Source organism: Homo sapiens, chromosome 16, assembly GCF_000001405.40.
Source record: "Homo sapiens chromosome 16, GRCh38.p14 Primary Assembly".
In the NCBI taxonomy this organism is placed as follows: Eukaryota; Metazoa; Chordata; class Mammalia; order Primates; family Hominidae; genus Homo; species Homo sapiens.
In genome coordinates, this window is record NC_000016.10 from 54,570,160 (window position 1) to 54,585,956 (window position 15,797).

General features: G+C 44.1%; 2 annotated features.

Annotated features, from left to right (window-relative positions):
* Positions 12,305 to 13,213: an enhancer, noted in NCBI's record as "H3K4me1 hESC enhancer chr16:54616376-54617284 (GRCh37/hg19 assembly coordinates)". NCBI's record gives its function as "activates a minimal SCP1, AML or CMV promoter by ChIP-STARR-seq in naive H9 embryonic stem cells {active_cell/tissue: H9 hESC(naive)}" and the evidence as "EXISTENCE:reporter gene assay evidence [ECO:0000049][PMID:30033119]".
* Positions 14,838 to 15,382: an enhancer, noted in NCBI's record as "OCT4-NANOG hESC enhancer chr16:54618909-54619453 (GRCh37/hg19 assembly coordinates)". NCBI's record gives its function as "activates a minimal SCP1, AML or CMV promoter by ChIP-STARR-seq in naive and primed H9 embryonic stem cells {active_cell/tissue: H9 hESC(naive and primed)}" and the evidence as "EXISTENCE:reporter gene assay evidence [ECO:0000049][PMID:30033119]".

A 15,797-nucleotide genomic window follows, 5' to 3' on the forward strand; every position in this document is an offset into this window, starting at 1 on the left:
GAGATTACTTATTTTTTGGTATCTGTCATCATACTTTTCACACAACAGGGGCTCAACTGAACTTAGCAATCAAAAATTGTTGATTGATTAGAAATTACCTGTGTGAACCACAGAGTCTCCCTTTGCTGGGAGTGGGCAGTGGTGGCATTTGAGTATGTCTCAGAGCCCCCAGGTGTGAAGTGCTCATTCCCTTCTCCAACTAATGTCGGGCCACAGATGCCAAAACAGCCCCATCCAGAGCTCTGCTTCATAAATAATCGGTCAGACACAAATTTGACTTAATCAAGGAAGGCTATATAAAGCAGATTAATGACATTTTGATGAACTTTTCAACTCAATTTGAAAAGCCATGCTACGTTAACCACCATTTCCAATTACCCTCCAGGAAAAATTCTGGAGAAAGTTGAGACCCCTCTAAAGTACAAAATGTACTTGTAGAGAGATGGTGATCTATACCACAGTCATCTTCTAAGATCCCTTCCACATGAATGGTCAAGGAAAAAAACAACAACAACTGAACCAACCAAACAAAATGAGTTCTCTTTCTTCAGGGGAATATTCCAACATTTTCAAACAAAAGATGGAATTTAGCACCATTTGATTTGCATCTAAAAGGTACTTAAATGTGGGCAAATCAGGGCAAAGGCTGAGGCAAAGCCTTCTACTGGACATGCCTCAGTTTCCCCTCTTTAAAGGCACTAGTAGTGGAGTGGTTGCCTTTAAGGTCTCTCTCCTGGTATGGTAACAGGCACTGGGGGAGTGATTGGTTGACCAGCCTCCCCCTACTAAAGCCTAAAGCTCCCTGAGGAGAGGGACTTTTGACTATTTTGTTCACTGCTGTGAAACCATTGAGCAGGGATAGGATTTGACCTGATATATATATATATATATATATATATATATATATACATACACACACACACATATATATAGAGAGAGAGGGTCTAAACTCCAGGCTGGAGTGGCACAATCACTGCTCACTGCAGCCTTGAACTCCCAGGTTCAAGAGATTCTCCCGCTCCAGCCTCTTGTGTAGCTGGGACTTGTGTAGCTGGGACTACAGGCATGTGCCACCTCGCTGGGCTAATTTTTAAACTATTTATAGAGTTTTAAATATAGGGGTTTTAAACTATAGGGGTTTCGCTATGTTGCCTGGGCTGGTCTCAAACTCCTGGCCTCCAGCAATCCTCCCACCTTGACCTCCCAAAGTGCTGGGATTACAGGTGTGAGCCACCACATCCGGCCTAATTTGTATTTTTAAATGGTCTGTTTAAATAGTAAGTAAATTTGCTTTTAACTTCTAGCAAAAACAATGAAGGAATAATCAGGATCTTTTTTTTTTCTTTCTTTCCAATTTTGGCCCCAGGGGAAATGGTTAACAGAGTATTTCACTGTGTTTGTGGGTCCTGGTGACTTGTCTGGTTGAGATAATTCTGGTCACCCTTTGGCATGTCGACCTGTCCCAATTCATGTGGCAGAGCAAAGACGGGACTGGGCTTCAGCCTTTGGATGGTGGTGGTTGCATGGCGCTGCCTCTGTCCTTGTGGTTGCTAAACTCAAGACCCAGTGTATGGGCTGCTGCAGAATCATCTAAAGTTGCCTTCCCCACAACCTGTGGCCCAAAATGAGCTTCAGTAGGTACAGGGAGGACCACAGGAAGAACACATTGCATGTTTTTTATGACTACTTTTTTTTTTTTTTTTTTTTTTGAGATGGAGTCTCCCTCTGTCGCCTTGGCTGGGGTGCAATGGTGTGATCCTGGTTCACTGCAACCTCCACCTCCCGGGTTCAAGCGATTCTCCTGCCTCAGCCTTCTGAGTAGCTGGGCATACAGGCATGCACCATCATGCCTGGTTAATTTTTTTTTTTAAGTAGAGATGGGATTTCGCATGTTGGTCAGGCTGATCTCGAACTCCTGACCTCAGGTTATCTGCCCACCTCAGCCATCCAAAGTGCTGTAATGTTCAAAGTGCTGGGATTACAGATGTGAGCCACTGTGCCTGGCCCAGATTACTTTTTTAGAGCAGTTTTAGGTTGACAGCAAAACTTAGAGGAAGGTACAGAGATTCTCTATATGTCCTTACCCCCACACGTGTGTAACCTTCCCCATCATCAACATGGTTCACCAGATTGGTACATTTGTTACAATGATGAACCCACGTGGACACAGCATGATCACCCAAAGTCTGTAGTTTATTTATGTGAGGGTTTACTCTTGGTGTTGTACATTCTATGGGTTTGGACAAACGCATAATGACAAGGTTCCACCATTATAGTATCACGCAGAGTGGTTTCACAGCCCTAAAAATCCTCTGTTCCCCACTTATTCATCCCTCTCCTAAGGCCTATCCTTGGAAAGCACTGATCTTTTTACTGTCTCCATAGTTTTGCCTTTTCCAGAATGTCATAGAGTTGGACTGATACCGTATGTAGGCTTTTCAGATTGGCTTCTTTCACTTAGCCGTGTGCATTTCAGGTTTCTCCATGCAACCTTGATAGCTCATTCTTTATTAGTGCACCCTGCATTTTTTTTTACTCTGAAGAATTTTCTGAATTATGTTTCCCTTTCCGCAAAATTTTTTTTAAAGAAAATCTGTTTCTTTAAACTTTTTGCCAGCAAAGGTCACCCTGAAATATATCCAACACACTCCTGAATCTAAACCTTTGTGCCTAGAAATCCTCCCCCTGACTCCTCACACCATCCTCCACACTTGACCTGTTAAAGCAGAAGTTAACAAGTCAAATGTCTGCTGGTGCCGGATCAGAGCACAGTTGAATGAAGCACGCGTATTGTAAGACAGGACCCACTCCTTGCCTGAAGTTCCTCAATCCAAAAGGCTCTGGGCACTGCAGGTTTGCTGAAAATGATTTGTGGCAAAACCTGTTCTGATCTGATCTATTTGGCAGCAAAACCTGCCCAGAACAGATGAGAGTCTATTTAAAGCCTCTATTTATCCCCCTCAATGTGAGTATTTATACATTGTAGTATACAGATATTAGTGTGATTGATTAGGGGGGTACTGCCCTAGACCCACTTGGGGATAGAATATAATAGAATATGTGCACTGTATTACATCTCTAAAATATAAAAAATTGTGAATCTGAAGACATTGAACCCCGGAAGTTTGGATGAGGAATCAGGGACCTGCACAATAGGGAGTGGTGGGGACTGTGGAAAAGTGAATAGAATCCCTACAAAGTGCCAGGCAGCTAGGTGTCGATGCTCAGGAAGGTGGGCCTGGTGTTGCCAGATCTTTTAATGCTTCCCAAAAGACAATAAAAACGCAGATATTGACATGCTGTCTCTTCCTGTTTTAAAAATACTGTGCAGACCACACAAAACCAGCCTGTTCATAGTTTCTTTGTCAGAATAACTCATTCTTGGCCTGAATCAAATGCTACCACTTTCAAAAGTGTTCCCACATTCCCCATTTGCTATGGATTGACTGTGACCCTCCCACCCCAAATATTCATAGGCTTCAGCCCTAACCTCCAATGTGACTATATTTGGAGACAGGATCTTTAAGGAGGTAATTAAGATTAAATGAGATCACAGGGGTCGGGCCGTAATCCAACTGGTGTCTTTTTTTTTTTTTTTTTTTTTGAGACTGAGTCTTGCTCTGTTGCCCAGGCTGGAGTGCGGCGGCGTGATCTCAACTCACTGCAACTGCTGCCTCCCAGGTTCAAGAGATTATCCTGCCTCAGCCTCCCAAGTAGCTGGGATTACAGGCACTCACCACCACACCTGGTTAATTTTTGTATTTTTAGTAGAGACGGGGTTTTGCCATGTTGGCCAGGCTGGTATCAAACTCCTGACTTCAGGTGATCCACCCACCTCGGCTGCCCAAAGTGCTGGGCTTATAGGCATGAGCCACCGTGTCCAGCTGCAACTGGTGTCCTTCTAAGAGGAGACACTGGAGTGCACACTCTTTCTGTGCAAGCACACAGTGAAAAGCCATGTGTGGACACAGCTGAAAGCCAAAAAGAGAGGCCACATCAAAAAACCAACCCCAGTGGTACTTTGATTTTGGGCTACCAGCCTCTAGAACTGTGAGAAAAGAAATCTTTATTGTTTAAGCCACCCAGTCTGTGGTATTTTGTTACGGCAACACAAGTGGGCTAATGTAGCATTCATCATTGATTTTCCCCTACCCCTATCCTAAGCAATAATGGCTTAATTTTATTCCATATTTACAGTATTATTATTCTTTTCTGTTGTTTTATCTATGGTTATTGGGTAATTCACATACAGCCCTTAGCACAATGCCTGGGGCATGGTAAGGCATCTCTAATCAGTACTTATTAATATTCTTACCAGTTTTTAATTTTTATTTCTTTGAGACAGTTCTGTCACCCAGGCTGGAGTGTAGTGGCATGATCACAGCTCATCGCAGCCTTGACCTCCTGGGCTCAAGGGATCCTCCCACCTCAGTCTCCTGAGTAGCTGAGACCACAGGTGCATGCCACCACACTTGGCTAATTTTTATTTTTATTTCTATTTTTATTTTTGTAGAGACAAGGTCTCACTCTGTTGCCCAGGCTGGTCTTGAACTCCTGGCTCAAGCCATTCTCCTGCGTTGGCCTCCCAAAGTGCTGGGATTACAGGCATGAGCCACCGTGTCCAGCCTGTTGTCATTATTATTGTTATAATATTATCATTATATATTCTTCAGAACATAGACATGTCTTACCCATTTGTTATTTGATTATTTTTGGTAACAAACCCTTAGGCTCCAAAGTCACAGAAGGAGAATATCTCTTGTCTGGGGGTGTCTTGGAGGGAGGGGTCCACCCAGATCCAGAACTCTGGGCAAGTTCTTTGTGTCTTGGTTTCTCAGTTTTTCTAAAGGTAAATCATCCTGTTTCTTCTCTACTTCCCCCTACACCATCATCTACACCCATATACACAGACACATAGACACACACACACACACACACACGGAAATGCCAGGTAATAATGTAATTAACCAAAAACACTATTACAGAAAGAGATAAAGAACAGAGATGCAAGAAAAGAAATGGGACTAAAATTGGCTTTTGGTGCAAAGAAGGTCAATTATTGAGGAGGGTGGTGATTTCAGGGCATCTCAAGGGAAAACGCAGCCATCCCAAACCCAGGGTGGCTGGAACATCTGGACTGCATGTAGCCAAGTGGATGAGGGTTGATTCAGAGATCTCGAGTTCAAATCTCAGCATCTTGACCCTGGACCTCTGTGTCCTCAGCTATAAAATGAAAATAATCAGCCTACCTTCTTCACAGCGTAGGCATGAGGAATGAGTGGACACACTCAGTAAATAAATGAGTAAATATGGGTAAATAGAAAATGCTAGCTATTACTGTTAATGATAGCACACAATCTGTCACCTCTCACTAAGTCATGGAACTGATCTTCAATTTATAATGTAATATCTCAGTGTCTTCAACTTAAGGGCGGTCATGAGATTCAGCTCTATATGCAATTATAGTGCTATGTATATAAGAGAACACTGCTATTAAAGTGGTATTCTTGTTTGAAATATTTTTCTAAATACAAATTTATCATATAACTTTGTTGAGGAGGAGAGAAGACTTTATAGGGGCTAATTGGACACATATCCTCAAGCAGGTCAGCCTGCCCAGCTCAAGGGGAAAAAGAAAGGAGGGCAGATTGTTTATTTATTATTTATTTATTAAGAGCAGATTGTTTTGAGAAGTCTTTTCGTGGCCAGGCGCAGTGGTTCATGCTTGTAATCTCAGCACTTTGGGAGGTGCAGGAGGATTGCCTGAGCCCAGGAATTCTAGAAGAGCCTAGGTAACACGGTGAAACCCCATCTCTACAAAAAATACAAAAATTAGCCAGGCGTGGTGGTGCACACCTGTAGTCCCAGCTACTTGGGAGGCTGAGGTGGGAGGATTGCCAGGAGCCTAGGAGGCAGACATTGCAGTGAGCTGAGCTCTCGCCACTGCACTCCAGGCTGGGAGTGGACAAAGGGAGACCTTGTCTCAAAAAAAAAAAAAAAAAGAGAGAAAGAAAACTCTTCTTGGGGTGATTTCCACTTCCCAGTGGTTAGTTAATGTGTCCACAAGCAGATTTTTCCCTGGAGGGCTTAGTAATTTCTTAGTGCCTACACATATTGCTGAATCCCACTCCTCATTTTTCTCATCTGTAGAATCGGGATATGAATAGTAGCTACTTCCTGGGATAGTTGTGAAAATTAAGTGAGCCCATATGTGGAAAAGGCTGAGAAGTGAGCACAAATGCCTGGCTCCTTTTGGCGCCACAGCAATGTTAGCTAGCATTCTGTTATCCTGCCTGGGGCTAGGCAGAGGTTCCAGGAACTTGGCTGTCTTTGGGATCTTCGAAAACTCTGCAGCTGCTATTATGGGGACTCCAAGAGTTGATCCAGACTGATTGGAAATAGTCTTGAGAATTGGTTATTTTCATTTTTTAAAAATTCGCCTTCACTGGCCTTTGCCAGCCTTACCAATACCACTGAAATCTGCCCGGTGATTATCATAGGATAAAAGCTTTTATCATGAAAAGTTTTGTTTGAGAAAGCACGAACTGTGCTTCTCACTGTCGGCTTCCCTGCACGCAGGGATTCTGTCCACACTCCTACAAAGGCTGAGATTATCTCTCTCTGTTAAGGGTTTAAAATCCTACAAGCCAGCCATGCAAGTGACCAGTATCAGATTATGATAACAAGATCATGTTCAGTTATAAAAACAAGTGTCTAAACTTTTCTCATGTCACTTTCTCCCGGGGTCCCTTCTGAGAGGGAAGCTCAGCTCATTTTGAAGGCAGCGCTTTGAACTGAATTCATGGGGTATTTGCATAAGAAGATTTGAGGTTGAAGAATGGCTGCTATTGCATCTGCCCATTAATATGCCTGCTAATTCAGCACATTGTAAGCCTATTGACAGCTCACAAAGGGCTCAAATTCAAGGACAGTTATCCTATGGCCATTGTGAGGGCTTCAATTCAAGGAATATGTTCGCTCGAGGAATACAGTTGTTACAATTAGATATTTTTCATGAAACATTATAAAGAACTAATGACAACTAGAAGCACAATACTGCAACAACCACCAAAAAACATTCAGAACTCCATGAGCTTGACTCTGGTTCTCTCTCTCTCCCTGTCACATAATCTCCCCCACACTTATTTTCCTAGATGCAGTCGGCGGGTGATGGATAGAGATCTCCAAATTCGAAAGCGCATTTATCTTGCTCCCTAAATTTAAATAAAAAGCAAAATGAAATAAACAGATCTCGGCAGAAGGGGAGAAACCCACATCGCCGGCATAAATAGTGGTTAATTTAATCCCGTTTATGAAAAACGTCACACTGTCACCTCCGAGGAATATACAAAGCAATATTCGAGAGCAGAGATGAATTATTTGAGGGGGAGAAAGCTTATCTCTTTTCAGAGGCGGAGAAAAGGTGTTTATGTAGATCTAGGACAATTCAAAAACCAGGCAGAAAACGGTGCTCACGGTGGCCGTGTTCAGGCGGCTGGGGGCATTTTAAGTGAGAAAGTCGCCTCTCTCAGGAGGGAACTTGCAAAGGGCTGGGTCTGGAAGGCGGGCAGTGTAGCTGGGCTAGGGAGGCCGGCAGGAACTTTCTAAGAAACTCGGCTGAAATGCGGTTTCCAGCGGGGTGTTTGTGAGCGGCGTGCCCAGGGACGCCTGGGATTGGGGACATTGTCTCTGCATTGTGCTCAGCTCCCACTTGGCTGGCCATTGTCACAGGGGCCCATCAAGCCCCTGGCCTGAGCACCGGTTGTATTTTTCTCACTCTACATCCCTCAGAAAAGACATCAAAGACCAGAGAGATGTGCTTTTCGCTTTGTTTGGTGTCTGATTCTCAACATGTGGTTTCCCGGGCCAAACTTCGGCACCTTTTAACCTATTCTGTTCAGCTTAGGCCTGAGCTGTATTTGAGCATTAGGGAAACTATAGTAACCGATAATCTGCCTGTTGCTGAAAAGAAACTATGTATCTTGTCACACAAGAGCTGTGGGACGATCATCGTCCTAGACGAGACCCTTTAGGGGCTCCCAGCTTTCTTTCCTGGGGCTCAGCCTGTGCCACTGAAAAGGCGTCAAAACCCTTTGCCTTTCTGGCACTGAAGACCCGTGTTCATGTTCATTTATATTTAACAAATAAGGCATTGTCCTTTGCAACATACCAGCATTTGATTATGTATTACAAATGTTTTCATCAAGTCAGAAATGAGGCCTCTTAACAAAAGGTGGGGGGGAAACTTTGGTGCAGCCCAGGGGTGGAGCAGAGACTGAGATTTTCTTGGTGGGATTTTTGGGTTCTTCGGCAAGTAAGGCTGGACCTATTGTACACAGTACCAACTGAAATTTTTAAGAAGTGCCAGGGGACCCCAATGCCGGATAGTTGAAGATGTGATTTAAAGGACAAATCCAGACTGAGTGGCGTAGTGTGGGGTACCTGTTGAAAGTTCAGGCTCTGGAATCTCACTATGAGGGTGCAAATCCCACCTCTGGCTCTTTCTCGCTGTGCAACCCTGAGCAAGTCTCTTGGGGTCTCTGAACTTCCTGTTTCCTGGTCTTAAAAGAGGGATAATAACGGACCCTACATGGAAGGCCTGTTAGGAGGATTAGCTGAGCTAATCCCTGTGACAGCACAGGGCCTGGCACACAGCAAGAGCTCAACAAGGGCTGACTGCCAGTGTCATTTCATAGAGTACACTAATGAGCACAGGAGCGGGGACAGGCAACACCATGGCCAGGATCCAAATGGGTAAATAATTGCAGTAACAGTTATTATTATCACATTACATCTTTATTGATACTTCACTCTATTAAAGAAATTTGTGTTAATTGTCAAAATAACTAAAATGATGAAGAAATGTAGAGCCTAGTAAACGAAAGTTTATAGGATCTCACCCTTCTGAGCAGGCAGAAAATTGGAGTGGGGCAATTGATGCACACTGGGTGCAAAATTTTAGGAGACGTTGACTCTCAGAGTTGTGCAAGTGAAACTTTTTGCCCTAGGTACCTTGCTTGCCTCAACTAGTCCCGGTTCAGCTTCAGAGATAAGCTCTGGGAGAAGTTTCATTTGTTGGCTTGCAGAGGTTTTACATCCCATATACCAATACTGCATTATTATTGGCAACATGAGCTCACACCATGTGGACTGTTAGAGAGCTCACCCTTTCACTTACCCAACAGATTCTGGGCATCTTTCCCTGCTAAAAGGATATAAGGCCTGCCCCCATCTTTGTGTTGTTTTTCCTTCTTAAAAAAAAAAAAAGAAGAGAAGAAGAGGAAGAAGAAGAAAAAGAAAAAGAGGAGGAGGAGGAGGAGGAAGAGGAAGAGGAAGAAGAAGAAGAAGAGGAGGAGGAGGAAGAAGAAGAAGAGGAGGAGGAGGAAGAGGAAGAAGAAGAAGAGGAGGAGGAGGAAGAGGAAGAGGAAGAAGAAGCAGAAGAAGAAGAAGAAGAAGGAGAAGAAGAAGTCATTCTACCTCTTGTTTCTTTGTTTTGCAATTATGCAATACAGAAATGAGAGGTGACCATGGTTATTATTTGGTCTCTAGGCTGCCTGAACTTTTTTTCTTTTTTTCTTTTTTGAGACAGAGTTTTGCTCTTGTTGCCCAGGCTGGAGTGCAATGGCAGGATCTTGGCTCACTGCAACCTCTGCCTCCCGGGTTCAAGAGATTCTCCTTCCTCAGTTTGCCGAGTAGCTGGGATTACAGGCATGCACCACCATGCCCAGCTAATTTTTGTATTTTTAGTAGAGATGGGGTTTCTCCATGTTGGTCAGGCTAGTCTCGAACTCCCAACCTCAGGTGATCCGCCCGCCTCGGCCTCCCAAAGTGCTGGGATTACAGGCGTGAGCCACCACGCCTGCCTGAACACTTTTTTTTTAATGCTTCTATGGAATGAATAATAGCTTATGTTTTCTTGGATGGCTATTATGAGCTTGTGCTAAGAATCTTACACTGTATTGACTTATTTAATCTTTATAACAATCATATGGGGCTAGTAGGCATCACTTCATCCCCATCTTACAGATAAGGAAACAGAAGTTAAGTAACTAGCCCATATCATTAAGTTATTAAGTGACAGAGTCCAGATGAGAACCCAGCCCACTTCCCAGAGCTCAAACATGAACACATGTGTGTGCGTACATATACACATACATTTTCAAACCAGCATCGTGTTCTGTCCATTGTTTTGGGACATCTTTCAGTTAGTTCAATGTAATATTTCAGCACTATCCTGTTGTCTGGAATGGGGAGTGACAGCAGTTTCATTTTAGTCCCACCCCACCCCACTCTCCCCACCTCAGTCTTTGTCTAAAGGTGGAATCCCACAGTCTCTGAGGCCCCAGGAATCACCCAGTCCAACCCAGTTACAGATGGAGAGGCTGAGGCACAGAGAGGGAGGGCAAGCTGCTTGCCCAAGATCACTGAGCATATTAAGTGGCCGTTCTGGGATAAGAAAAGGCCCAGGGCTCCATCAGAGAAATGCAAATCAAAACCACAATGAGATACCATCTCACACCAGTTAGAATGGCAATCATTAAAAAGTCAGGAAACAACAGGTGCTGGAGAGGATGTGGAGAAATAGGAACACTTTTACACTGTTGGTGGGACTGGAAACTAGTTCAACCATTGTGGAAGTCAGTGTGGCGATTCCTCAGGGATCTAGAACTAGAAATACCATTTGACCCAGCCAACCCATTACTGGGTATATACCCAAAGGACTATAAATCATGCTGCTATAAAGGCACATGCACATGTATGTTTATTGCGGCACTATTCACAATAGCAAAGACTTGGAACCAATCCAAATGTCCAACAATGATAGACTGGATTAAGAAAATGTGGCACATATACACCATGGAATACTATGCAGCCATAAAAAATGATGAGTTCATGTCCTTTGTAGGGAAATGGATGAAGCTGGAAATCATCATTCTCAGCAAACTATCGCAAGGACAAAAAACCACACTCTGCATGTTCTCACTCATAGGTGGGAATTGAACAATGAGAACACATGGACACAGGAAGGGGAACATCAAACTCTGGGGACTGTTGTGGGGTGGGGGGAGGGGGGAGGGATAGCATTAGGAGATATACCTAATGCTAAATGACGAGTCAATGGGTGCAGCACATCAGCATGGCACATGTATACATACGTAACTAACCTGCACACTGTGCACATGTACCCTGAAACTTAAAGTATAATAATAATAAAAAAATAAAATAAATAAGTAAAAGTTATTACAATGGGGGGGGGGAAAAAAAGAAAAGGCCCAGGGCTCTCTTGCCATGTGCAACTGTGTCCACCCATTTGTTTGTTTAACAAGCACTTATTGAGCATCCACTGTATTCCAGGCACTGTGCTAAGCCCTGGTATACAAAGCCAACAAATCATGGGATCTACTCTAAAGAAGTTAGAGTCTCATTGAGGAGGTGGACACATAAATAAACAAGAATAGAGCACTCTGATAGGTTAATGTATTAACCAGTTTGGGCTGCCATAAAAAAATACCGTAGACTGGATACTTAGCAGAAATTTATTTCTCATGGTTCTGGAGACTGGCAAGTCCAAGGTCAAGGTGCCAGCTGATTGGTTTTCTGGTGAGAGCTCTCTTACTGTCTTACAGACTGCTGCCTTCTCACTGTCCTCATGTGGCCTTTTCTCCATGAACATGCATGGAGAGGGAGACTTTTTTCTCTCTCTCTTCCTTTACTTATAAGGCCACAAATTCTATTGAATTAGGACCCCACTTTTATGCCCTCATTTAACTACCTCCTTAGAGGCCGTACCTCCAAATACAATCATATTAGGGGTTAGGGCTTCAACATACATATTTTGCGGAGTATGCAATTCAGTCCACAGCAAAATAAAAATCGTAATAATAATAATAGCTTGCATTTGATAATAACTTCTTATGTGCTAGGCATGAGGCTAAGCACTTTGTATACATGATGTCATTCAACCTGCACAGCAACCAATGAGGTCAGAACTATAGTCATCCCCATTTTACAGAGGAGTTCATTGAGCCCCCATAGAGAGATTAGGTAAATTGCCTAAGGACACATGGAGTAACTCCAGAAACCCCCACTGTTGGCCAGTCCTTGGGTAAGGGTGGAAAAGTTTCAAGAAGGAGGCGATTCCTGAGAGAAATTTTGAAAGACTGGTAGGAACAAGTGTCCTCAAGCTGAGGCCAGCCTGCATTCCTTCCCTTTGGACTGCAACTACAAAGCATGATGTTTATTCCCCCAACCCACCTTTGCCTTTAAAAAGTTCATAACTGCAGCCCCGTTGGGGGAAATGCTGCATTTGCAACAAAGTCCCTAGGCCCCAAACTTAAGTTTGCCTGCATTAAGTGCTTTCCCAGTGGCCCGCCACCCCCTGGCAACTGGCCGCCTTCTGCTTTTGACAGCTTGGCATATTTGGTCATTTACCGGGTGCATGTGAAGATCAAATGGGTTAAGATTCTTCTCTTTAAACAGCAGGGAAAAGAACATCAAAAAGGTGTACATTTCATTTCCCCAGTTTTGATTAAGTCAAGCATGAAATGAAATGTAATACCCTCAAGTGGCCGGGGTTTATACCATTGAAGTCGTTACTTCTGCTTCAGGAGGTCCAATCAGCCCTGGGCAAGGGGAACAAGCTAACAGAGTTTTAGGGTGGCCAGATGGACGGGGTTTACCATGGTTGAAAAGGCAGCTTAGTGCTTGCCTCTTCAAGCCAACTGTGTGAAATCCTGGTGTGGGCCCTTCCCCTCCCGGCTCGCCCTCCCGCAGCCCCCGCCCCCTTGCCTCCCTCTCCGTCCATTCGGGGCCAGCGGCCCAGAGGCTGGAGTGGCCACCTCCTGGATGCCACACCATCCATGGCTGCTCTGCCTGTGATCCTCCTGCTGCAACAGGCCGCAGGGTGCCCCTGGAATGTCTGCTGGGACAGAGTTGGCCCAAGAAGGAATTGGAATTCTAGGCAAGATAAAAAGACTTGATTCTTGGATGACTCTTTCTAGAACTCATGAACAAATTATTATTGCATGGGAGGAGGGATGGGTACCCCTCTGTGCCTGGTCTGGTGCTAGGCCCTAAAAATGTAAACCTAGGCACCTGGCTTTATTTGGGCTAGCAAAATCCTGTGAAGTCAGACTCGAGTGTTAAATAAAGATATAAAGGCTGCCCCCCAGGGCTCACCAACTGACTCAAAGAATCAGAGAAACTCTTTGCAGGTAGAAGCCATTTTATCTATTGGCCCCAGGCCCACTTTTTGATGGCCCATGGAACGATTGTCCATCTGAAAACAAAATTACAGTATTGGGTTAAGAACATAAAAAGAAAAACCACAAGATTAAATTTATGAAATGGTTAATTAAATATCTAAAGAGGTAGGATTGTGTCTGTGTTACAGGAAAGGGGTCCCAATCCAGACCCCAAGAGAGGGTTCTTGGATCTCCGGCAAGAAAGCATACAAGGCGAGTCTGCAGTGCAAAGTAAACGCAAGTTTATTAAGAAAAGAAAGTGGTGGGCTGGGCGCGGTGGCTTATGCCTGTAATCCCAGCACTTTGGGAGGCCGAGGCGGGCGGATCACGAGGTCAGGAGATCGAGACCATCCTGGCTAACACAGTGAAACCTGGTCTCTACTAAAATTCCAAAAATTAGCCTGGCGTGGTGGCGGGCGCCTGTAGTCCCAGCTACTCAGGAGGCTGAGGCAGGAGAATGGAGTGAACCCAGGAGGCGGAGCTTGCAGTGAGCGGAGATTGCGCCACTGCACTCCAGCCTGGGAGACAGGGCGAGACTCTGTCTCCAAAAAAAAAAAGAAGAAAAGAAGTGGTGAAAGAACAGCTACTCCATAGACACAGTGGGATATTCCCTAAAGTAAGAGGAGGAACGCGTCCACCCTTGGTACAATGCTCATATATAAACAGGATAAAAAAGATCACGGGGAGATGTGTTCTGCTACAAGCATTTGTGATAAAGAATTAATTTTCTTAATTACTATATTTTGCAAGAATCAATACTATTATCTTTAAAGCAAAATTAGGAATGCCTTTGTTCTCAAGATATCGAGATATTAGGACATTCCCAAGTCTGGGTCTGTTTAGTAAACATGATCAATTTCTTTTCTTAAGTGTAAACATCTAGAGGCTAGGAATACCTAACTTTCTGGAATGCAGCCCAGCAAGTCCCAGCCTCATTTTCTAACCTTCACCCAAGAAGGAGTCACTCTGGTTCGAATGCCTCTGACATCTGAACCCTAACCCTTGGCTGATGACATCTAAATAATGAAGAATAAACCAGAAGAACAAAATGAATCATTTATTCTCACTAAAGCAGAACTGGAAATGACTGAAATATTCTTAAAATGGCCGGGTGCAGAGGCTCACACCTGTAATCCCAGCACTTTGGGAGGCTGAGGCAGGAGGATCACTTGAGCCCAGAAGTTCAAGACCAGCCTAGGCAACATAGCAAGACCCTATCTCTACAAAAAATAAGAAATTAGCCGGGTGTGGTGACATATGCCTGTGGCGACATATGCTTGTAGTCCCAGCTACTTGGGAGGCTGAGGTGGGAGGATCACTTGAGCACAGGAGGTAGAGGCTGCAGTGAGCCATGATCATGCCACTAGACTCTAACCTGGGCAATAGAATAAGACTGTCTCAAAAAAAAAAAAAAAAAAAAAAAAACCCACACACACACAAACACACATGCACACTCACCTTCTTAAAATGCTTATAGAAAAAATTTTGGAGTAAAGAAGGTTATATTTAATGTGAGATATGGAAGCATTTTATATATTTGATAGACTCTGAGAGGGAGCTCCCAGATTTAAAGTTTGGGGATCTGGTGGGATTTGAACACAACTCCACTAATTATCAGCAGGCCACTTCTGAGCAGGGTGCTGCAGTCCCAGGGCTGAAATAATCAACTAGGGTCTTTCTTAGGCTGGAACAGACCCATTTTCCAGAGGTGCCTTCGGGAGGTTCTACTCCACGCCCAGCTGAAATCTCCAGGCTCTCAACAGCTGGAGGAGAATAGCAGGGCTTTGGGAAGAACTTAATAGAATCCTTAATGCCGCTAACAATCCACTGCTATTGAACTGCATTAAGTAGATATTATGGAAAGACAAAGAGCTAAATAGCTCGACATCACCCTCATTCGGCATGCGGCCCCCGGCCGAGACCATTTTAAGGGCAGTGCCATTGTTGCTGCACTGCCCAGGTTAGCTTTAAATTGCAAATGATACCCTGAAAAGGAAAGAGAAGTGGTTTTCTTTTCTTCTGTCCTCGCTGTCTCCCTCTTTCTCTCTCACTCTGTCCCCACTCTCTCTCTCTCAAAATGGCCCTTGCAGAAAGAAAATCATTTTAGGCCATAAGAAAGTGAAAGGCATTGTTAACATGGCTCGGACCGTGGCAAATGAAATACATCATGAGCTCTGGAGCTGAAAGCTACACTCGAGCTGTTTTATTTTGATGCTTTGGAATGTGGTCCACATGAGAACATAAACAATGCCAAATCTGTATGAATTAATAGGCCGGGCTTGACGTATTTCTCTTTGTTTGAGGCCAAACAGGCGGGAGTTGGGGGTGCGGGAGGAGGAGGAGAAGAAGGGAGAGGAGAATCTTATTTGATTAAAAAAAAATCCAATATTCTAGCTGATAGGAGGAGTGTGTGCGGCAACCCTTCTTAAGACGGGCCTTTCAGAATCAATGGCCAAGCAGCCGGCCACCACTTGAAGTTTCATCGCTAGCTATGATCAAAATGCTTTAAAAAAAAAAAAAGTCTCCATAGAATTGTTTGCAAACTGCAAAGTG